The sequence below is a fragment of the Homo sapiens genome, chromosome 6, assembly GCF_000001405.40.
Source record: "Homo sapiens chromosome 6, GRCh38.p14 Primary Assembly".
Classification (NCBI taxonomy): Eukaryota; Metazoa; Chordata; class Mammalia; order Primates; family Hominidae; genus Homo; species Homo sapiens.
This window is the reverse complement of record NC_000006.12, coordinates 54,735,424-54,760,077: the sequence shown is the minus strand read 5'-3', so window position 1 is coordinate 54,760,077 and position 24,654 is coordinate 54,735,424. Positions and strand designations below refer to the sequence as shown.

The window sequence follows — 24,654 nt, the reverse complement described above, 5'->3', positions numbered from 1 at the left end:
GAAAAATGATACAACTCAAAGGATCATTTTATTCATCAAGCAATAGAATATTCCTCATCAAAAAATGAAAAATTTGATTTAATTCTATAGAGATATGATTTATAGTCCCATCAGTAATAAACCCTTTCTTTTTTTCCTCTAGAAGCCTTACTTGATTATTTTACTCCAAAAAATCTATATTTGAAAGTCATGGAGTCAGACAGTTTTTTCAAACAATTGAGATGTAATCATTGCATTGCCATTACCTAAAAACTCCTGGTGGATTTTTAATGTTAGTACTTCTTGGATTTGACTTCTTCAGGTACTCTAAAATGTTTACCTTAACTCAGTTTGTTTTGCATTTTTATCATTTTTTGTTATTCCTAGCTTGCAATGATTTTTCTCTAACAAAAACCAACAGTTAAATAATAGCAGAAATAAAAATTTTTAAAGTATCTGAATTTTAAGAAACACAAGATCATCTAAATAATCCTCATTCAATTTCCTCCAGGATTCTATATTAAAATGCTGTAGAAAAATTCTATTCCATAATATGCATGTACTTTATTTTTTCTAAAGAAATGTTTTGAGTATGTGGTAATACATTATTTTAAACAATATTGGTTCTAATAATTGTGTTTGGTTAGCCAAAAAATAAAATAAAATCTAAAAAGGAGATAGAGAAAAAATGCTAACTGATATCACACCTGCATATTTCATCAGCATTATCAATGTGGCTATTCTACATGATACTTTATAGTCTGGTCTAGCTTTAATACCAGAAAAGAAAAAAATACCTTTCAAATAAAAGCCAGATTTATCCCTGTAGAGAGTACTAATTCTCAGAACACATTTCTCTGTTTAATCTTTCTTTTCTTATAACTGTGGTTCATATGTCTCTGTGTTTGGCTTATTGCTTTATCACTACCTTTACATCAGTAATAACAGTTCTTACTAAAGGGCTAGAAAATCTTAACTTCATCATAACATTCATTTATTCTCTTGGCTTCTGACTCCAAAGTAGAAACACGAATGTTCAACCATAATTGTGTGGCCTCTTCTACTTGCTAGGAAGCTCCAAGGGAGATCATATCAAGGGAGATTTGTTTATTTTTTGAACACTTTGAAATTCCACGTTGTGGCAGGCAAAAGCCTGCAGTCAGTTACTCAAGCAACACTCACCCAAAGCAATTTTATTACAACCCAAATATGTATTATTTCTTGCATAGAACATCTACTGAGTGATGTTATGAATAAAATTAGGTCCTGAGACAATTCAGAAAATATGTAAGGGACCTCCTTTTAAAAAAATTTACCATATGGGAGCAAGACGGTGGAATAGAAAGCTTCACTGATTGTCCCCCACCCCATCCCCTGCAAGGACACCAAGTTAACAACTATCTACACAGAGAAAACACCTTCATAAGAACCAAAAATCAGGTGAGTACTCGTAGTGCCTGGTTTGCACTTCATATTGCTGAAAGAGGCAGTGAAGAGATAGAGAAAACAGTCCTGAATCACTGACATCACCCCTCCCCCATCCCCTGAAGCACAGGCTGGTGCAGAGTCTCTGGGCACTGGAGGAGGGAGAACACAGCAACTGTGAGGCATTTAACTCACTGCTGTCCTGTTAGAGCACAAAAGAAAACTGGATCGAACTTAACTGAAGCCCAGCCATGGAAAGAGTATTTCAACCAGCCCTAGCTAGATGGGAATCACCAATCCAGCAGTCCAAAGTTGAGTGATTGCAAACCTCACCGCTGAGGGCTACAGCACTCTGTGTCTCCAAGTAAACTTCAAGGGCAGTCAAGGCCATGAGGACTGCATCTCTTAAGTGAGTCCTAGTGCTAAACTAGGCCCAGGGACAGTGGACTGGGCTGGCACATGACATACTGAAACACCAACTGGAGCACCCAAAGGAGTGCTGGCATCACCCCTCCCTTAACCCCAGGCTGCACAGCTCAGGGCTCCAAAAGTGACCTCTTCCTTCTACTTGAGGTGAGGAGAGGAAAGAGTGAGGAGGATTTGCATCTAGGACACCAGCTCAGCCATAGCAGGTTAGGTCACTGATCAGAGTTGTGAGGCCCCCGTTAAGACCCCATTCCAGATCCAGTCCCTCATTCCAGAGGCTCCCAGATGACTTTTCTAGACACACCCTGGGACAGAAGGGAACCTGCTACTTTGAAGGAAACAACCCAATCCTGGCAGGATTCATCACGTGCTAACTGAAGAGTCCTTGGGTCCTGAACAAACGGCAGCAATACTCAGGTACTACATCAAGTGCCTTGGGTGAGCCTCTGAGATATACTGACCTCAGGTGAGACTCAGCACATTACTAGCTATGGTGTCCATGGGGCAAAACTTCTGCTTGAGAAAAGCAGAGAGAAAAGTAAAGGGGACTCTGTCTTGTACCAGAGCAGCCACCATGGGGCAAAGCACCAAGCAGTCTCTTGGGTCCCCAATTCCAGGACTTGACTCATGGATGGCACTCTTGGACCTACACTGGGCCAGAAGGGAGTCCACTGCCCTGAAGGGTGAGTCCCAGGCCAGGCAGCATTCATGACAAGGTGATTTAAGAGACCTTGGGCCTTAAGGAAACATTGAAGGTAGTCTGGAACTATTCCTTGTGGCCTGGAGTGGTGGTGGCTATGGGTGAGTCTCCTCTGCCTTTGGAAAGGAGAGGAAAGAGTGGGAAGGATTACTTCTTGTGGTGTGAGTGCCAGATCTGCTGCAATACAATAGAATACCAGGTAGACTTCTAAGGTATTTAACTCTAGCCCCTGACTCCTGGAAGGCACTCTGGACTCACACCTGGCCTCGGGAAACTCACTATCCTGAAGGGAAGAAGACAGGCCTAGCTGGCTTTGCCACTTGCTGGTTGTAGAGCCCCAGGGCCTTGAGGAATCATAAGCAGAAGATAGACATATGGCCAATAAGTATATGGAAAAAAGCTTAATAGCACTGATTATTAGAGACATGCAATCAAAACCACAATGAGATACCATCTCATACCAGTCAGAATGGCTATTACTAAAAAGTCAAAAAATAACAACTGCTGGTAAGGTTGCAGAGAAAAAGAAATGCTTATACACTGTTGATGGAAGTGTAAATTAGTTCACCCATTGGGGAAAACAGTGTGGTGATTCCTGCACGACCCAAAAACAGAAATACCATTTGACCCACCAATGATAGAATGATAAATCATTCTATTATAAAGTCACATACATGCATATGTTCATTGCAGCACTATTCACAATAGCAAAGACAGGGAATCAACCTAAATGCCCCTCAGTGTTAGACTGGATAAAGAAAATGTGGTATATATACACCATGGAATACTATGCAGCCATAAAAAAAGAATGAGATCATGTCTTTTGCAGGAACATGGATGAAGCTGGAGGCCATTATCCTTAGCAAATTAATGCAGGAACAGAAAACTAAATATCATATGTTCTCACTTGTAAATGGGAGCTAAATAATGAGAACACATGGACACAAGGAGAACAACAGACACTGAAGCCTATCAGAGGATGGAGGGTGGGAGGAGGAAGAGGATCTGGAAAAATAACTAATGGGGACTAGGCTTAATATTTAGGTGCCAAAGTATTCTGTATAGCAAACCCCCATGACACAAGTTTGTCTATGTAGCTAACCTGCACATGTAGCCCTGAATGTACTTAAAATAAAACTTAAAAAATAAAAATAATAAATAATTAAAATAAATGATTCCTGGAGCTAAACACAGTAAGCCAGATATGCCCTATCCCAATTAGAGCCAAGTATCTAATGAAGGGACCAAAGACACTTTCAATTTCCCTAGTAGTTCCATCAAATCACTGACATGTGTCCAACTCTCCTTCTTCAAATGTTTGCCTCATAAACAATATCTCCCCTATTGCATTGGCTTTTGTTTTCTGTGCTTTTTCCACTTCCTTAAATAGTTAAAATGTAAACGGAATTCATATAGATGTGACATCATTCCAAATTACAAGGAAGCATTTAAATTCCATTTCTATTAAAATTTTTTAAGGTACCATGTAATACATATGTAAGTTAATAACATTTATTTTATAAATAAAATTTGACATAATTTGTAACTATGTGGCCTGAGAATACCACGTGAAAATTATCTGCAATATGTTGTTCTGAAAAAGTATATTAACTCAGAATAATAAATAAAATACTTTTTATTTCATGATTCATTTTCTAAATGGAGTACGATGACCCTCCATGCTGGCAAAAGGTCTAAAAGGATGTGACTTGACCTGAAAGTCACTAAGTAGGGAGTAAAGTTTTATTGGAATTTGAACCTAATTTATTATGTGGGCAAATAATAGTCAATCTATTTTTAATTAACTGGTGTGGCATACAGTCAAGGTAGGAGAATTAAATATTTACTTTTAAATGCAAAATTTTGTGCATGTAATTTTCAGAGAAAAACTTATTATTAAAGGAAATCCTATAATAATTAAGGCAGAATTTGAAAGTGAGTAAGAATGACTAGTCTTGAGACAGAGAATAAAACTTTTGCCACAATCTTAGTAAAAGAAGCATGTTAGTTACAGAAAATTTCTTAAAATATATATACTGACTCAAATTTATCTGTTGGTATCCTAAAAGTTATTTGATAACTTAAAAATTTTTTCTATGAAGTAGTCCTAGCAAATTATGTTTCAAGTCTTTTTTAAGTTTAAAAGCATATAATTAAATTTCTTTCTGAGAAAAGGAATACGAGTAGGTGTTTGCATGGGCATAGATAAATTTTCATAAATTTATTTAAACTAATTTTTGACGCTACTTCAAAACACAATTTCTGTTAAAAAAAACTTTTTAATGCTCTTCGTAGCATTAATGCAACACTTAGGTAAACATGTTTTAATTAGGTAAAAATAGGGAAAAAATGATCTGAAAGTGTTTCTACAATACACAGTCTTTGAAACTAAAACTTACCTCTTTTTAAAAAGTATTTTCTTTTCTCTAAGTTCTCTCTTTTGAACGTGGTAAGCTACTAGGCACTAATGATATCTTGTATTTTATTGCACTTTACCATTTATAAGATACTTTTACATGCATTATCCCTTTTCATCTTTAAAACAGCCTAGAAGTAGGTATTATTCTCATTTTATGCCATGAAGAAACAGAGGAAAAAACTAATCTTTCATAGGGGCTAACAATGACTCATTTTCTCCCTCAAGGAGACCCACTGAGCTAGGGGTTAGAACCCTGATATTTTGGCTCAGTACAGTGCCCTAAAGTAGTACAAGTGTTTGACATCTAATGAGGACATTACACTACCCAGGCAGCTTACCTCAGTTCTTCCCAAACTTGGATGTGGAAATAAATTTTACAGCTCCAAGAGTTTTCTAGGAGAATTTAATTTTGGTAAAAAAACAAGTGAACATATTCTGCATTATTTATACATTAGCCTTGAACAAGCACTGTTGTGTGACATCACTGCTATTGTTTCTGTTGCTAGTTATAACTGCTATGTCATCAATTAGTCTTTGTTTCCAATGGCCCCCCAGAATAAAGAAGAATAAATAATATATTACCACTAAATGAAGGCCAAGTGTCATTAAGGTATGTTGTACAAATGGATATTTTTATTGCAGCTCAAAGGGAGAGTAACAGAGGGAATACTGAGGTGTCCCCTAGCACATAACGTGTACACAGGTAAAACACAGTAGAACTTGCATTGTACAGGAAATACCATGTTTGCACTGTGAACAGAAATATAATATCATGAAAACAACAGTAATTGTATTAAATCATTTTTGTACATTGACTTTTGCTAGTTTGTAAATTCTGTTTTTAATTTGTAAATTTATTTTGGTGTTACAACTAGATACTCACAAGCTTAAACAATTAACAGATTTATTCTCTCTATTTCTCTTTCTCTCCGTACATCCTTGAACAACACAGTTGAACGGTGCAAGTCTACTCATACAAGGATTTTTTTCAATAAATATTTTGGAAAAGTTTTCGCACATTAGTGACAATTTGGAAAACCTCACAAACTGGGTAGCCTAGAAACATTGAAAAAACTGAAAAGTTAGTTATGTCACGAATGCATAAAATATGTGTTAATCTACTGTGTATGTTATAGGTAAGGCTTCTGGTCAAGAGTAGGTTATTACTAGTTAACTTTTGGGGAGCCAAAAGTTACAAGTAGATTTTTTCCATGTTGGGGATCTGTACCCCTAATTCTCAGGTTGTTCAAAAGTCAACTGTATGTATTTATATATAATATTATATTATATTTTATATATAATACATAATATATGCAACAAAGATATAACAAATATATACATTTATTGTCTTTATATATCAAGAAAGAGAATAAATCCATTAATTGTTTAGGCTTGTGAGTATTCAGTTATAACACCAAATTAATGAAGAAATTGATAACGGAACACTGGACTGTGAGCAGGAAAAATACTTTCAGTTAATAAAATTAATTAATTTCTATCAAATTCCCTTGAACAAAATATTTATTGCTTTCAGTTTCAATATGATACACTATCTCAGAGAGTACTTCTTTTTATTTTACATGTAGATTATACAGGGATGTTTCCTATTTCACAGTCAAGTGCTCTGATACCAATTTCTTCATTTATAGATGAAGGGACATATATAAAATGCAATAGAGAAGTTAACACCTAGGACAAGTTTTGGCAGAGAAGGGATGGCACTTTTGCCCTAATTCTCTGACTCTGAATTAATAATCAATTCAGGGACTATTATTTTCCTTCCTCAATAGCCACTGATGCTCTAAGGACTTATATCTGTGGAAGCATTGCCAGTTAGAAGTGTAGTATTATGCTATTTGAATGTTTCAAGTTAAAGCAGAGGTGTTTCACTTTAGGCTGTAGAGAAAGTCCTCTTCCAAGCCTTGATGACTTCCTCAGAGGAGAGTGGAGTAGGGCAAACAATAAGCAGTTAGAGCAACTTTACTATATTTGCTTTATACATTGAACTTACACTTGAGATCTCATTTGGTAAAAATATTCCAAAGCTTATTAACTTTTGTAAACTACTTCCCTAGGGGAATACATTTGTGGAGATACTTTGTATGAGGTAAGAAATCTTAGGTTCCCTACTGGTGACTTCTTTATCTTAAAATCTTTATTGCATATTTGATATATTTAAATGACAGTAAACTTGTGTCTTGTGATGAGCCACACTGAGCTAATGGATACAAAGTTTAGAAAAATTCAGTTTGCATCTATGCATTAAGTTGTGGGGTAAAAAGAACAAAGTTGCCTTCTTTTGTTTTTTAGATAACCCTTATTTAGATTTACTTTCCTGGGAATCAAACTGGAAATTCCTGAAGTTAAATAATATTCAGATTAATTAAAAATGAAGAGTAACATGATAGGCTCAGATAGAAAACAATCCATTGTCTTATTGACAACCGTGTGAAAATTACCTGTAACACCACTATTATTGACTATAGGGATGTCAATCCTGTAGTTAAGGAAGTGGTCATGTAAGAATAGATTTTCAAGTTTTCTCATTATATTTAATAAAAGGCTTCATTTATTCTTTGCTTTGTTTAGTATAATATGAATGCCTTAATGTTTATTAAGCCATACATGAAAAATTTCTGTTATACATACTTTCATATAACCTTATGAAAAACTGAGAAGTAACTACTGACTTCATGAATCCTTTATTAAAATACGAAAAAAACAGAGCATATTTAGAATGCATACATTACCATTACATATAAATACCTAAACCACAAAATATTTTTGATAATTTTTTTTTCAGATGATGTCTCACTATGTTCCCCATGCTGGTCTTGAACTGTCAAGCTGAAGCAATTTTTTCACCTCATCCTCACAAGTAGCTGGAACACAGGCACATCCTACCAAGACCAGCTTATTTTCACTTATTTTTATGTATTTTGAACAGCAATATATACAACTAGTCTAAAAAAGCAATGAAATAAACCAAATCTAAATTAGTAAAAACAGAGTTTTTCTAAAGAAAGATTAGTGGATTATACAACATCATTTGGTTCATTTAATATTTATATCTAGGCAGTTATTTTTAAAACTTTTCTACAGGAAGTTCCTGAAATCAAATATAAATCAGCAGTTGATTGGTATTCAAAATTATTTGATGGGAACTTCAGATTTGGGTGAACTACAGGTGGCAGTGCTATTTATTATCATGAAGTAAACTTTTATTGGAATATAATTATGACTCAAAGTTCATCAGCATCCAGGTCATTTGCGACATGTGTTTTAAATTTTCATATTGATTTTATTAACCATGTGTATGAGAAGACTGCATTCTTATTCTAACTACACCTACTGCTTACCCTTAAATTAGAATATAAAAATACAGCTGGATGGATATCTACATAGCATTTACTATATAAATCAGTAATAAAATTAAATTTCAATAAAATCGGTTATTTAATCAGTTTTTTAGTAATACCTGAATTTGTAGATCAAATAAATTGTATTTAAAATATCAAAAATATTTATTGAGTACAAAGTAGTGTTTTATTTTCATGTTATTGAAATCTGACATAGGTAAATAAACAACTCATATCCTTTTTTAAAATGAGATAATAATGGAGAGAACCATCAGGTCAATTACATGTGGCCACTTTTGACTTAGGTACAACCAGCTGGTAGAAATAACAAGGTTACTAAAATACTTTCATGCTTAGCATAATTCATGGATCTTAAAGCAAAGAGGTTTCCTCTAGTTCAAAGTGAGTTGTTGAGCTGTCTCGCTGGTGCCCTTGGAATACCAAATATATTTTTCTCATTTCTTTTTCCATTTAAACCATTGACCACAAGATGTAACTCTTGGATTTGTCATGGATGCTAGTGCTAGCTACTGATCCGGCAGGCAATTGACAATGTTGGTGTCATTATAGATTCTCCTTCATTTCATCCCTTCTAATCATTACCACACTTCCATGAATATAATGTTCTTTCCTGCCTGTTGTGCTCACCCACTTGTTGGGGCAACACAGAACAGGAATTAAGACCAAGAATATCAAACATACCTAGAACTAAACTTACTCCATCATTACTATTAAACCTCAGGCAAATTATATAACTTCTCCAAGTCTAAAACGTTGAGATGTAAACATAACTCCATAAAATTGATAAAAATTAAATGAAACAATAACATCATGACCCATTCTTGCAAATAGTAAGTGCTACATAAATGGTGGTTATGGTTATTATCATTAAAGCCAAAATTATATATTACCTTGAGATGTTAATTTTCTCTTATTTTTCCAGTAACAGAGTTCGTAAGTTGCTCTTCATTACAGCTCCTCTCTCTGGGCCCCTTGGAAATAAATCCTAGAACGGTTGAGCTACAAAATAATGCGAGGCAGTTTTGCCTCTGTTGTAACCTTGACCATTGTCTCAAAACTTTGATTCTTCCTCTATACTCACAAATATTAATGTCTTCCCTAGGAAGCACAAATAGTGACTTATGGGCAGCATATCAGCCTCAGAAGATTTTAATTTCTTGTTTTTTGAGCTTCCTCAGGATTTCATGTAAAGAGTTCAATCCCAAGCTATCTTGACTTTGATGGACTCGATTTTGTTCCTTCAAAATTCAAAATTCAAAAGCCTAACTTCCAATGTGACTGTATTTAGAAATAAGGCCTATAAGGACGTAACTAAGATTAAATGAGGGTGAGGCCCTAATCCAATAGGGCTAGTGCCCTTATAAGAAGGGAAAGAAACCAGAGCCCTGTTTCCCTGCTGCATAAGGACACAGAGAAAAAGCATTCCTCTACTAGCCAGGAAGAGGTCCCTCACGAGGGACCAAATCAGGCAGCACACTGATTCTGGACTTTTCCACCTCCATAACTATGAGAAAGAAATATCTGTTGTTTGAGCCACCCAGTCTATGATATTTTGTCATAGTAGCCAAAGCAGACAAAGGCACTGAAAAAAGGCCTCACTGGATAGGCCTTACATTCGTTTTTATTTAGCTTGGTTTAAGTGACACGAGCACTACTATATATGATGGGCTAGATAGGAAATTTGGGTCATATATGATATCTTTTATTAAATTGTTTTCTCATTGAACCAAAAACCATAGGTAAAGTCAGGCTTATTCAACTTAAAAGGTTTCATACCTTCTGTATCTCCCTCCAGCAACTCCACACTCCTGACCATCCTGTAAACTATTGCTAGATTAAATTTTCCTAAAATATTATTTTCATTAATCACTACATTACCTCTAGTGAATCCTTAAGCACAGCATGGATCATAGCCAAATTCTTCATTCTGGTACTCAAGGTCTGTCCTTAAATGGCATTCCAAAAAGAGCTAGGATTATTTATGATATTTTTCTCTACACAGTTCTTCAATAAAGTTGATGGCCTCATCTTTAAAATAATTATTTATCCTTATAATGTTGCTGTGAGCATCAAATGGGATGAGTATTATTATAGAAAGTCATTAGGATATTTGAGATATAAGTATTCAGTTAATAGTTGATTCTAATTTTTCATACTGACCACTGCACATATATGATTTTTCCTAATGATAATGACAAATATTTCTTGACAATTTAATAGGTACTCAAATTTACTTCCGATTTTGATCCTGTCAAAAAGTAGGTAATAGATAATCTTCCCTTCCTACTTTATACACTGGGAAACTGAGCTAACAAAAGTTATGTAATATGCCCAAGGTCACAGGGAATAGCACAGCAAGAATTTTAGTCCAAGTAGTGTGGTTCTGGTGTCTACATACTCCCTTCTTCTATGTCTACTTACTTTATGCATCTCGTCACATTTTTATGTAATATTCCTGAATATTCTGCCCTCTCTTTTTATAAAACCAAATTTTACATTTTCTTCAAAGGGAAGTAAAAACTCATCTCTTGCATCATATGTCAACACACTGGGTTTTCTTGTTTTCTCATTGGCCTTATGTAATGACTGAACTTTAATGCCATGCACAATTTATTTATATATGATATTCTTACAAGTATGTCATTAATGCTTTCTCAGATTAAATGTAAGCCTTGAATGGCATAGCCTCTTTATGTTTATAAAGTTCCTGAAAGCCTCAACCGTAACAAATTTATTTGGAATACATTAAAATAAAAAATTTCTGTTTATCAAGGGAATCTCTGTTTATCAAAGTATATAAAGGAAGCCACAGAGTGGGATAAAATACTTTCAAAACATATAGCTGACAAAAGACTGTGTCTGGAATATATGAGAACTATACAAACCACTGGGAAAAAGACAGAAACTTAATAGAAAATTGGATTAAAGACTTAAAATAGATAATTCAAAAAAGAAGATATCTATTATATTGGCCAATAATATACAAAAGGCTGATTAACTTCATTAGTCATTATGAAATGTCAAATACGCTGCAATGAAATAGCATTATATACCTTTGGATTGGTCAAAATTGAAAAAGGTGATTTAAACAATATTGCTGAGGCAGTGAGGCAAATAGAAATATCAATCTCTGTTGGTAATTTTTTAGCTGTGTATATAATTTACATATATATGAATAGCACCATCCAGCCAAAATAATGCATGCAAATAAAGCACAAAAAGACATATACAAAGATATTCCTAGCAGCATTATTCTTGATAGCTCCAAATTAAAATGAACCTAAATGTCTGTTAATAGTAAAATGAATAAATAATTTGTGGTATGTTTAAATCGCATACAAGAATGAAAACAGGAATGAAAACATATAAGCTACAAGTGCATACAATAATCATAATAAATTTTACAAATACAATGTGCAGTAAAAGAAGCCAGTTTCAAAATAATATATGCTGTTTGATTCCACTTATAGAAACTAAATTTTAAAACAAATTTAATCAATATATTGTGTTGAGAAGGAGTGTTGGGGCGATAGTGTGTGTTATGAGGAATAGAGTGAATATTTTGGGGATGAGACATAATGGGGGTTTCCTGGGGAGTGGCAATGTTTTCCTTCTTACCTTGTGTTTATTTGGGTTTTTGCCCTGTGAGCTGTGCATTTATGCTTCATGAGTTGTTTTATATATATATACTTATATATTACTTAAAATAACTCAAAACTAATATAAAAATAACATCTAGCTGATTAAATTTACAGCTTTAGAATGGTATAATATGATACAAAAGGAATTCTATTGAGCTGAGTAAAGAACAAAGCAAACTGAATAATTTTGAGAAATACTGATAGTACTACTAAAACAGAATACTTTGAGGTCAAGAATATAATAATTTAAGTGTAATCTGGAACTTATAAACCAAACTGTACTAACAAAGAGTTGGAAGTTAGTTAATCGTGAGGGAAAGTTGTAAAATATTCTACATGCAACGTTTCTCATCCTACATGTCATATGAGTATCTGGGTGAAGTTAAGTCACAAAGGCAACTCAATTGTTTAACAGGTTATTCTATCCTAGAGGATCCTTCCAGAAACATGTAGAGTATTGTAGCAGAGTTATCAAACATACTTATTCATAATTAATTGTTAGGGAAGATTAAAAAAATACCACCACAGCAAAAAATATTATTTATATTTAAATAGGCAGAAACTGGGGGTAAAAAGTTCCTAAGAGAAAAAAAAAGGATGAAGGGTAAGATAGACAGACATTTTTTAAAATCACTATTACCAATAACAAAAAGTAACCTAAAGCAAAGTATAAATGAATAAAAGACAGACTATAGCAAATGCATCTGCAAAGGGAGTGACTTATGTGCATAAGGGTAGACACCCTATGCAACTGTAAAGATATCCATATAACATTAAAAATAAAACTATCTAATTTAATTGTCTTCTGACAAAAAGAGTTACATAAAACAGCACAACATAAAACAGTAAAGGTCAAAGATCTGTAACCTAGAAAAATAAAAACAAAGTTGATGTGGTTATACCCATTTTATACCAAAGTACATTCCAAAACATAACTAAAAGGAATACGGTAAATGTTTTTAAATTAGTAAAGCAGACAATGATGAAATAATATGGAGGAATTATGACGTTTATCCACAGACCAATACATCCTCAATAAATACATGGAGTAACAAATGTGAGAAATGAAATCAAGAACATTTTTTTTTTTGAGATGGAGTCTCGCTGTGTCACTCAGGCTACGGTGCAGTGGCATGATCTCGGCTCACTGCAACCTCTGCCCCGGGTTGAAGCGATTCTCCTGCTTCAGCCTCCTGAGTAGCTGGGATTACAGGTGCATGGCACCATGCCCAGCTAATTTTTGTATTTTTAGTAGAGATGGTGTTTCACCATATTTGTCAGGCTGGTCTCAAACTCCTGACCTCGTGATCAGCCCACCTTGGCCTCCCAAAGTGCTGGGATTACAGGCGTGAGCCACTGCGTCCAGCCTCAAGAACAAATTTAAAGAAACAGGCTGGGCTTGGTGGCTCATGCCTGTAATCCTAGCACTTTGAGAGGCCGAGGTGGGTGGATTGCCTGAGCTCAGGAGTTCAAGACCACCATGGGCAACACAATGAAACTCCATCTTCATTAAAATACAAAAAATTAGCCAGACATGGTGGTGCATGCCTGTAGTTCCAGCTATTTGTGGAGACTGAGGCACAAAAATTGCTTAAACCCATAAGCTGGAGCTTGCAGTGAGCACTCCAGCCAGGGTGAAAAAGTGAGACTCTGTGTCCAAAAAAAAAAAAAGAAGAGAAAGAAAAAAAAAAACAATGAGCAAGATGACAGACTAGAGGTACCTAATACTCATCACCCTCACATAAAACGACCAAAACAATGAGTAGGCTACCACATTTCAACAAGAGTATTGGAAGGAGAGCACTGGAGTACAGTAGATTCACGGTAAAGACCATGTAGGGCATGGAGACTCAGGCAGGACACATAGAAAAAAAAGCAAAATGCCCCACGGCATTTCCCCATCCTTGACGTTTCACCACCACTTACTGTGCTCACACATGCTAGAACATTATTTCCTAGTTGAACAGCTGTAGTTCTCTACCCCCTGGGAATAAACAACTCAAAATAATCTGTTTCACCATCCCAGTGGCTATAGTGCCCTAGTCCTGGCTATACAAAAGCCTAAACCCAGCAGAATGACCATAATCCCACTGTCTAAGCCCATGAGGCACCCTGCCCTCTGGGAACAAGCTCCCAGTAGTGAGGCCATACCCAATCTGGTGGTTAAGCAGCACTGATTCATTCTTAGTGCATAGAACAGCCCAGTGACCTGACACTCAGTGGGGAGACTATGACCACCCAGAACCAAAACCAATGCTCCATACCTAACCAACACCCTAGAACATATCTACAGATGAAAACTTTTTTCTATTAAAGCTACTCTACAAAATTGGAAGAGGTAACCATTCCAGCAGATGCACAAATTTCAACACAGGAAAACAAGAAACATTTGAAAAGCAGGAAAATATGAAATTGCCAAAAAAAACCCCACAATGAACTTCCAGTAACTGAGCCTGAAAAAGCAAATTTACAAATCACCTTAAAAAATTTATAATAATGATCTTAATAAAACTCAGTGAGATGTAAGATTATATAGACAATTCATCGAAATCAAAAAAACAATTTATAATCTGAGAAGTTTAACAAAGAGCTACATATCATATAACAAAAACAAACAAATCTTGGAGCTGAAGACCTCATTGAATAAAATTAAAAATATAATTGAGAACTTCAACAGCACACTAGATCAAGCAGAAGAATTTCTGACCTTGAGGCAAGTCTCTTAAAATAACTCAGTCAGAGGGAAGAAAATGAAAAAAAGCAAAGAAAGTTTATAAAATCTATGGAACACCATTAAGCAAACACATGTTCACATTATAAGTTTCAGAGGTAGAAGAGGTGGAGAAAGGCTAAGAAAGCCTACTTAAGAAAATAATAGCTAAAAGTTTCCCAAAGATATGGACATCCAGGTCCATAAAGCTCAAAGGATTTCATTTACACGTAACCCAAAGAAGTCTTCTCTAAGGCACACTAAAATCAAACTGTCAAAATTCAAAGACAAAGAGAGAAATCTAAAAGCAGCAGGAGAAAAACATCAAGTTACACATAAGAAATTCCCCATTAGACTATCAGCAGATTTCTCAGAAGACACTTTGCAGGCCAGGAGACAAAGAGATGATATATTCAAAGTAACAAAAGAAAAAAAACAAACAAAAACAAAACAAAACAAAACAAAAACCTCTCAACCAAGAATACTATACCAAGCAAAGCTATTCTTTAGAAATGAAGGAGAAATAAAGGATTTTCCAGCCTAACAAAATTTGAGGGAATTCATAATCACTAGACTAGCCTTACAAGAAATGCTTAAGAGAGTGCTTCAACTGGAAGTGAAAGGACATTAATTACTACCGTGAAATCACATGAAAGTATAAAATTCACTGGTGAGGTAAACTTATAATCAAATTCAGAATACTCCATTACCACAATGGTGGTATATAATCTTTAAAATCTCTAGTATGAAGATTAAAAGTCAAAATGGTCAACAAAAACCTTAGCTACAATAAGTTGTTAAGGACTAGACGATATAAAATACATACATTTAGGCAAAAAATTTTTAAAATTATAAATGGTGGGAGGGTAAAAGTCTAGAATATTTGTATGCAACCAAAGTTAAGTTGTCAGCTTAAAATAGCCTTCTATAACCCATAGGTTTTTAAATATTAGTCCCAGAGTAGTCACAACAGAAAATTATAACAGAAACACAAAGGAGAGAGGGAAAGAATCAAAGCTTATCAGTACAGAAAATAACCAAGCCACAAGGGTAAACAACAAGATAAAAGAAAGTAACAAATTAAAAGAAAACAATTAACAGAATGGCAGGAATAAGTTCTTACTTATCAATAATAACCTTGAATGTAAATGGATTAAATTCTCTAATTAAAACATACTGAGTGGCTGAATGGATAAAAACAAAAACAAAATAAGAAAACAAGACCCAACTATATGCTGCCTGCGTTACACTCATTTTACCTGTAAGGACACACACAGACTGAAAGTAAAGGGATGGGCAATAATATTCCATGAAAATGGAAACCAAAAGAAAGCAGACAAAATAGAATTTGAATCAGAAACTGTAAAAACAGACAAAGATGGTCATTACATACTGATAAAGGGGTTAATTCAGCAAAGGGATATAACAATTATAAATATAAGTGTGCCCAACACCAGAGCATCTGAATATATAAAGCTAATATTATTTGATCTGAAGGGGGAGATAGAAAACAATACAATAATAATAGCAAGTGTCTTCAACATTCCACCTTCAGCAATGGATATATCATTCAGACAGAAAATAAGTAAAGAAACATGGATTTAAGCTAGACTCTAGATTGAATGGAACTAATAGACACTTACAGAATATTCCACCCAAAAGCTTCACAGTACATAGTCATCAACAGATGAAACTTTCCCCATGATAGACCATATGTTAGGCCACAAAAAAAGTCTCAACAAATTTTTAAAAATTGAAATTATATCAAGTATCTTTTATGACCACAATGGAATAAAACTAGAAATCATTTACAGGAGAATCTTTAAAAACTATACAAATACATGAAAATTAAACAACATACTTCTGAGCAATGAAAGGATAAATTAAAAAATTAAAAATAGAATTAAAAAATTTTTGAGATTAAAAAAAATGGAAAGACAACAATACCAAAACCTACAGGATACAGCAAAATCAGTTCTAAAAGGGAGTTCATAGCAATAAACAACTATATGTAAAAAATAGAAACATCTCAAATAAACAACCTAATGTTGCACATCAAGAAATTAGAAAAGTAAGAATAAACTAAACCCAAAATGAGTAAAAGTAATAAAGATCAGAGCAGAAATAAATGAAATAGAGATAAAAAACCCAAAAGATCAATGAAAGGATGAGTTAGTTTTTTTTGAAAAGATGACACAAATTGACAAACCCTTATCTAGACTAAGAAAAAAAGAGAGCAGATTCAAATAAATAATATTAGGAATGAAAATTGAGACATTACAATTGATACCATAGAGATATAGAAGATCATAAGAGACTATTATGAACAACTTTATGCCAACAAATCAGAAAACCTAAAAGAAATGAATAAGCTCCTGGACACATACAACTTACCAAATCAAACCAGGAAGAAATAGAAAATCTGAGCAGAACAATAAGAAGAAAATTGAATAAGCAATTAAAAATTTCCCATCAAAGAAAGGCCCAGGACCTGACGGCTTCCCTGTTGACTTCTATCAAACATTTAAGAACTAATACCAATTTTTTCAAACTATTCCAAAAAAATCAAAGAGAATAAAATTCTTCCAGACTCATCCTATGAAGCCATTATCACCCTTATACCCAAGCCAGACAAGGACACAACATAAAAAAACTACAGGCCAATATCCCTGGTGAAAATTGATGCAAAAATCCTCAATAAAATAGTAGCAAACAAAATTCAACAGCACATTAAAAAGGTCATTCACCATGATCAAGCGAGATTCATTCCAAAGATACTAGGAAGGTTTAACATATGCAAATTAATAAATGTGATGCATCACATTCACAGAACCAAGGACAAAAACCACATGATCATCTCAATAGACACAGATAAAGTATTTGATAAAATTCAATATCCCTTTATAATAAAAACACTCAACAAATTAGGTATAGAAAAAACATACCTCAATGCCACAAAGGCTGCATACGACAAACCCCCAGCTAACATCATACTAAATGGGGGAAATATTGACATTTTTCCTTCTGAAACCTAGAGCAAGACAAGGATGCCCACTTTCACCATTTTTATTCAACATAATACTCGAAGTCCCAGTCAGAGCAATTAGGCAACAGAATAAGATTTTTTTTAATTTAAAAACTATAAATTTAATTTCCTTAATAGTTAAAATTATTATTTAAAAGTCTATTTCATTTTGGGTGAGTTGTGGTAATTTGTGTTTTTTAAGGAATTGGCACATTTCATTTAAGTTGTCAAATTTACGTGTTAGAATTGTTCATAGTATTTGTTCTCTTATTATCCTTTAGATATCTGCAGGGCCTGTAGTAATAGCTCTTTAAATAAGTTATTTAAATAACTTAATAAGGCTTAAATAAGTTTATTGATGAAGTTATTAAACACTTCAGGAAAAAATTATACTAATTTTATGCAACTTCTTTCAGAAGATAGAAGCAGAGGGAATACTTTCTAATTAATTCTGTGAGTTCAGCATTACCCTAATACCAAAATGAGACAAAGAAATTTCAAGAAAAGAAAACTACAGACCAGTATCTCTCATGAATGTAAATGCAAAAAAATCCATAACAGAATATTAGCAAATTGAATATAACAATGTGTACAAGGAATTATTTACCATGAACAAGTGAGATTTATCTAAGGTATGTAAGGCTGGTTGAACATTTAAAATCAATTAATGTAATCCATCACATTAGCAGCCTCAAGAAGAAAAATATATGAACATAACAATAGATGCAGGAGAAGTATTTGACAGATACTAAAACCTAATTATGCTAAAAATTCTCAGCAAACTAAGATTAGAGAGAAATTTTCCTCAACTTGAGAAAGAATATAGACAAAATACCTACAAGTAACATGATATATAATGGTGAGGAACTAGCTTTCCAACCAAGATCTGCAAAAAAAAACTGGAAAAAAATCAAAGGTATACAGATTAAGAAGTAAAAAGTAAAATTGCTTTTGTCCACAGATGACATGATCATCTTTGTAGAGTATTAACCAAATCATCCAGAAAACCCTTCTCGATCTAATATACAATTATAACAAGGTTTCAAGATACAAAGTTAACATACAAAAGCCCATCAATTCCTATATGCCAGCAATGAATGAGTGGGATTTGAAATTAAATACAAAATATTTTTTACATTAGCACTCCCCAAATGAAGTACTTAGCTATAAATCTAACAAGTGGGTACAAGATTTAGATGAGGAAAATGACAAAACTCTCATAAAAGAAATCAAAGGACTAAATAAAGAGATATTTCATATTAATGGATATAAAGATCAATATTGTCAAGATATCAGTTCTTTCCAACTTGATCTATAGATTCAGTGGAATGCCAGTCAAAATCCTGGCAAATTAATTTGTGGATATCAACAACCATATTCTAAAGTTTATATGGACAGGCAAAATATCCAGAATAGCCAACGTGACATTGAAGGAGAACAAAATTAGAGGACTGACACTACCAGACTTCAAGACATACTATAAAACTGATCAATATATTTTGGTATTGATGAAAGGACAAACAGATAAATGGAAGAGAACAGAAAGCCCAGAAATAAATCCATATAAACATAGTCAACCGATCTTTGTTAAAGGAGCAAAAGCAATTCAATGGCGCAAAGGTAGGCTTTTGGAGAAATGGTGGTAGAAAAACTGTATATCCACATGCAAAAAAAAATGAATCTAGACCCACACATACCCTTCACAAAAACTAAAACAAAATAGACCAACCATAGACAAAAAATTACAACTTGGTCTATAATAACATCACACCTACAAAAACTAACTTGAAATGGACCATTCACTTAAATGTAAAACATGAAACTATAAAATGTTTAGAAAAAACAGAAGAAATTCTTTGAAATCTAGAGCTTGGCAAAGAGTTCTTAAATATGACACTAAAAGTGTGAGCCGTAAAAGAAAAAAAAATACATTGGATTTCATTAAAATTAAAAACTCTTGCTCTGTGAAAGGCCTCATTATGAAGACAAAGATAAGCTGCAGACTAGGAGAAAATATTTTCAAACAACATATCCAACAGAAGATGACTATCTAGAATATATAAAGAACTCTCAAAACTCAACAGTAACAAACAAATGATACAACTAGAAAATGGCCAAATGAGATGCATTAGTCTGTTCTCATGCTGCTAATAAAGACATACCCAAGACTGGATAATTTATGAGGGAAAGAAGTTTAATGGACTCACAGTTCCACATGGCTGGGGAGGCCTCACAATCATGGCAGAAGATGAAGGAAAAGCAAAGGGATGTCTTACATGGTGGCAGGCAAGAGAGTGTGTGCAGGGGAACTGTCCTTTTATAAAACCACCAGTTCTCATGTGACTTATTCCTTATCAGGAGAACAACATGGGAAAAACCCACACCCATGATCCAATTACCTCCTACCAGGTCCTGCCCATGACACGTGGGGATTATAGGAGCTACAATTCAATATGAAATTTGGGTGAGGACACAGCCAAACCATATCATGAGATGAAGAGGATATACAGATGGCAAATAAAGACATGGAAAGATGTTTAACATCATTATTTATTAGGAACATGCAAATCAAAACCACATGAGTATCATTACACATCAACCAGAGTTGCTAAACTGTTTTTTTTTTTTTTTTAAAAGTGACAGCACAAAATACTGGGGATGCAGAGTAGCTAGCTCTCGCATACATTTCTTGTGTGAATATAAAATGGCACATCCATAGTGGAAAAATAGTTTGGAGTTTCTCTAAAAACTAAACATACAAATACCATACAATCCAGTAATGGCACTTCTGGGCATTTATTCTAAAGAAATGAAGACTTGCGTTCCCACAAACATATATGAAAATATTTACAGCATCTTGTAATAACCAAAAACTGGAGACCACCCATGTGTCCTTCAATAGGTGAATTGTTCAATAAACTTTGCTTCATTCATATCATGTAATACTACTCCAAAATAAAAAGAAACTATTGACATTTGCAACAATCTAGATTAATTTCTAGAGAATTATGCTGAGTAAAAAAAAAGCCAATTCCAAGTAGTTACATACCTTATGAATCTACTTTTATAACACATGGAAAGTTTACATGGATTTGTCTAGATTACATGTAATAACTGCATATGAATCTGGAATTATTTCAAAATCAAAGTTTAATTAAAAATATAGTAGAAAAATTTCATTTATAATAGCATATAAAGTATTATACTTTAAAAACTGTACAATAAATATATAAAAATGCTTCAGACTTTTTATACAAAAAATTGAAATATGTTGAAGATTACAAAAAATTGAGTAAATGAATTGAAAAATGTAATATTATACTTCTTCCAAAATTCATCTATAAAATAAGTAATAAATCAATATGTCAATAAGGCATTTTGGGGATAGGAGTGGGAGGTTATAACAAGTTGATAGTAAAATTCATAGGGAAGAGCCCAAAACAGACAGTTTGGGAAAAACAAAACAAAATAAAACAGACAACAGGAGTTAAGCTATCAGATAATCACTTCGTATTATAAAACTACAGTGATTAATGTAGTGGGTATTGAAAACAGAATACAGCCAGGCGCAGTGGCTCATGCCTGTAATCCCAGCACTTTGGGAGGTCGAGGGGGGCAGATCACGAGGTCAGGAGTTTGAGACCGGCCTGACCAACATGGTCATACCCCGTCTCTACTAAAAATACAAAAATTAGCTGGTCTTGGTGGTGGGTGCCTATAATCCCAGCTACTCAGGAGGCTGAGGCAGGATAATCTCTTAACCCGAGTGGTGGACATTGCAGTGAGGTGAGATAGCGCCACTGCACTCCAGCCTGGGTGACACAGCAAGACTCTGTCTCAAAAAAAAAAAAAGAAAGAAATCAATACAGAATACAGAAATGAGATACCAAAATCCTCAGTGGCATGATACTATTTCAACTGATATGGCAGAATCTCTTCTTATATTTGAGAGTTTGATAGATGTCAGAATTGAGTAATGTTGGGCTATTTAAAAAATGGTATTAAGAAAGCAGGTTATCCTAGAGAAAAATATAAAATTAGATTTGAACATTACATCATGCCAAAACAAATCAATTCCATGTGGATCAAAGACTTAAATGTAAAAAGCAAGATTTTAAAACTTGAAAAATATATCCTTGTGACCTTAATGAAGCAAAAAAATTATTAAACAAAGCACATTAAATATACCATATTTTTAAAAAATTGTTACATTTGAAATTACAATTAAGAAAAATTTTTACATATTAAAAATGTCATAACATCTAAAAATAAGCCATGATCTTTTATTTAACATAAAAATCATATTTAGAAAACATAAAAAAGCTCCAAAAACTCAGTTTAAAAAAGATAAATATCACAATAAGAATACAGGCAAAAATATGAACAGGCATTTCAGAGAAGGGGAAATATGATTGGCCAGTAATGGAATGGCTAATCATATTTTTTCTTCTCAACATATTAATATATAAAAATATAAGAAAAACAAATGAAAACAATAATAAAATGTCAGTATACATCCATTGGATTAGCAAAAATTAGGTGGTTTCACAATACCCATCTTGGTGAGGATGTGAAGAAATTGGAACTCTCAAATGCCATTAGTGGGGCTGTTAATTGGTTGACTCACTTTGAAACAGTACCTCATAAATGTGAAGATTTGTAAACCCCCAATTTGTATATGTTAGGGACCTGTCCCACAAGTAATTCTGCATAGTTATGTAGCCTTGCTTACTGCCATGAAAAGTAAAAATAATTAGTTAGGGCTATATTTAAAATTTAGGAGACTGAGTCAAGATTGCAGACTAGAAGCAGCTCATATGTGCCATTCTCACAGAGAGGAACCAAAAGGTCTACTGAATAATAACCTTCCAAGCTGATCACCTAAGAAACCATGTCAGCATCCATCCAGGCCTCCAGGGGGCGCAGAGAGGAGCCAAGCTAGGCAGCTGCCTCTCTGGGATCAACATGAAGCCAGGAGAAGCTGCCTGACACGAGAAAGGGTGAGTGAGTGAGAGCCCCCAGGGGAAGTCATGCTCTCCACAGGGACCAGTGCAAGACTGAGCATGGGAGACTCCCTGTGCCTACGCACCCATCCCCCAACCCCCCAACCCCATGCATTTCTAAACAGAGGCAGAGAGCCACCGGATATTTTACAGAGGCAACTCCCAAGTCCAAGGGGACCTCAACAAGTCTTGGACCCCAGAACACACTGGCATCAGCACCATAGCCCTAACAGAAGCTGTGGTTGGGGTACCTGGAAGCAGTAAGATTCCTCCACTCCCCCTCACGAGACAAGGCTTGGGGCCGGAAGCTGGCCCAGCAGTCCCGCCTCTGCCTGAGCTCAGCTGGTGTGTGCAGCCTCCCTGTTGTCCTGGGAAATACTTGAATGGCAGGTCAGGCAACTGCACCGACCCCCCAATGCTGGTAGCTGGGTGGGCCGCTACTGCAAGAACGTCCAGCCCAGCAGTACTTCTTCGGCCTGAATTCAGTGGGCAGCTCCACCCACTTTCGCCTCCCATAGCCAGAGGGGCCACACCTGCTATTGATTCCAGCCCAGCTTTCCCTCTTCTGCCTGAGCTCTGTGGCAGGTGCAACCCCATGGTCCCCGGGAAAGCACCCGGACAGCCAATTAGGTGACCCCACACACCCCAGAGCTCCTAGTCAAGAGGGACTTGCTGGCTCAGGTGGTGCCCAAGCAGGGAGGACCCCTCACTCTCAGATAACTGAGACAGGTAAGACTCCCGTGTTCTCAGGCCAATGGAGGAGTGGGGTGTGCCTCCCACTGCAAGGCCTATACATCAAGGATATGGCCTGTCTTCCAACTGCAGCTGAAGCAGGAGAATCGCTTGAACCAGGGAGTCGGAGGTTGCAGTGAGCCAACATGGTGCCACCACACTCCAGCCTGGCGACAGAGTAAGACTCTGCCAAAAAAACAAAAAAACAAAAAAACATAAAACAAAACGCATACCAAAGGAATATCAGCCCACACAGATGAAAAAGAACCAGCACAAGATCTCTGGCAACTTAAAAAGCCAGAGTGTCTTCTCACCTATATACAACCACACTAGTTCCCACACTAGAACCAACAATGCTTCTTAATCAGGCTGAAATGGCTGAAAAAAAAAAAAAAAAAAAAACAGGCATAGAATTCAGAATATAGATAAGAATGAAAATCATTGAGATTGAGGAGAAAATTGAAACCCAAACTAAAGAACCTAAGGTACAGGAGCTGAAACACAAAATGGCCATTTTAAGAAAGAAACTGACCTGATAGAGATAACAAATTCACTACAAGAATTTCATAACACAATCACAAATATTAACAGCAAAATACACCAAGCTGAAGAAAGAATCTCAGAGCTTGAAAACTGGCTCTCCAAAATAACACAATCAGACAAAAATTTTAAAAAGAATGAAAAATAATAACCAAAATCTCCAAGAAATATGGGATTATGTAAAGAAACCAAATCAGCAACTCACTGGTGTCCTTGAAAGAGAGGGTGAAAAAGTAAGCAACTTGGAAAATACATTTGAGGATATCACCCATGAAAATTATCCCAACCTCACTGGAGAAACCAACATTCAAATTCAGGAAATGCAGAGACCCCTGCAAGATACTATACAAGATGACCATCCCCAAGCACACAGTTATCAGATTTCACAAGGTCAACATGAAAAAAAAAATTTTAAAGGCAGCAAGAGAGAAGGGGCAGGTCACCTACCAAGGGAACCCCATCAGGCTAACAGTGGACCTTTCAACAGAAACCCTACAAGCCAGAAGAGATTAGGGGATAATCTCTATCCCCTTATATTAGGCATCCTTAAAGAAAAACAAACTCCAAACAATAATTTTATATCCAGCCAAACTAAGCTTCATATGCAAAGGAGAAATAAGATCCTTTTCAGACAAGTGAATGCTAAAGGAATTTGTTACCACCAGACCTGCCTT

General features: G+C 35.0%; 1 long non-coding RNA gene across 1 annotated transcript in view, besides 1 other annotated feature; it reads left to right on the top strand.

Moving 5' to 3' along the window:
• The window catches only part of LOC107986606 (uncharacterized), a 179,493-nt gene that overhangs the window by 41,754 nt on the left and 113,085 nt on the right, over positions 1 to 24,654 (top strand). The gene's annotated exons all lie outside the window — the stretch shown is intronic.
• Positions 23,110 to 23,611: an enhancer, noted in NCBI's record as "H3K4me1 hESC enhancer chr6:54601265-54601766 (GRCh37/hg19 assembly coordinates)". NCBI's record gives its function as "activates a minimal SCP1, AML or CMV promoter by ChIP-STARR-seq in naive H9 embryonic stem cells {active_cell/tissue: H9 hESC(naive)}" and the evidence as "EXISTENCE:reporter gene assay evidence [ECO:0000049][PMID:30033119]".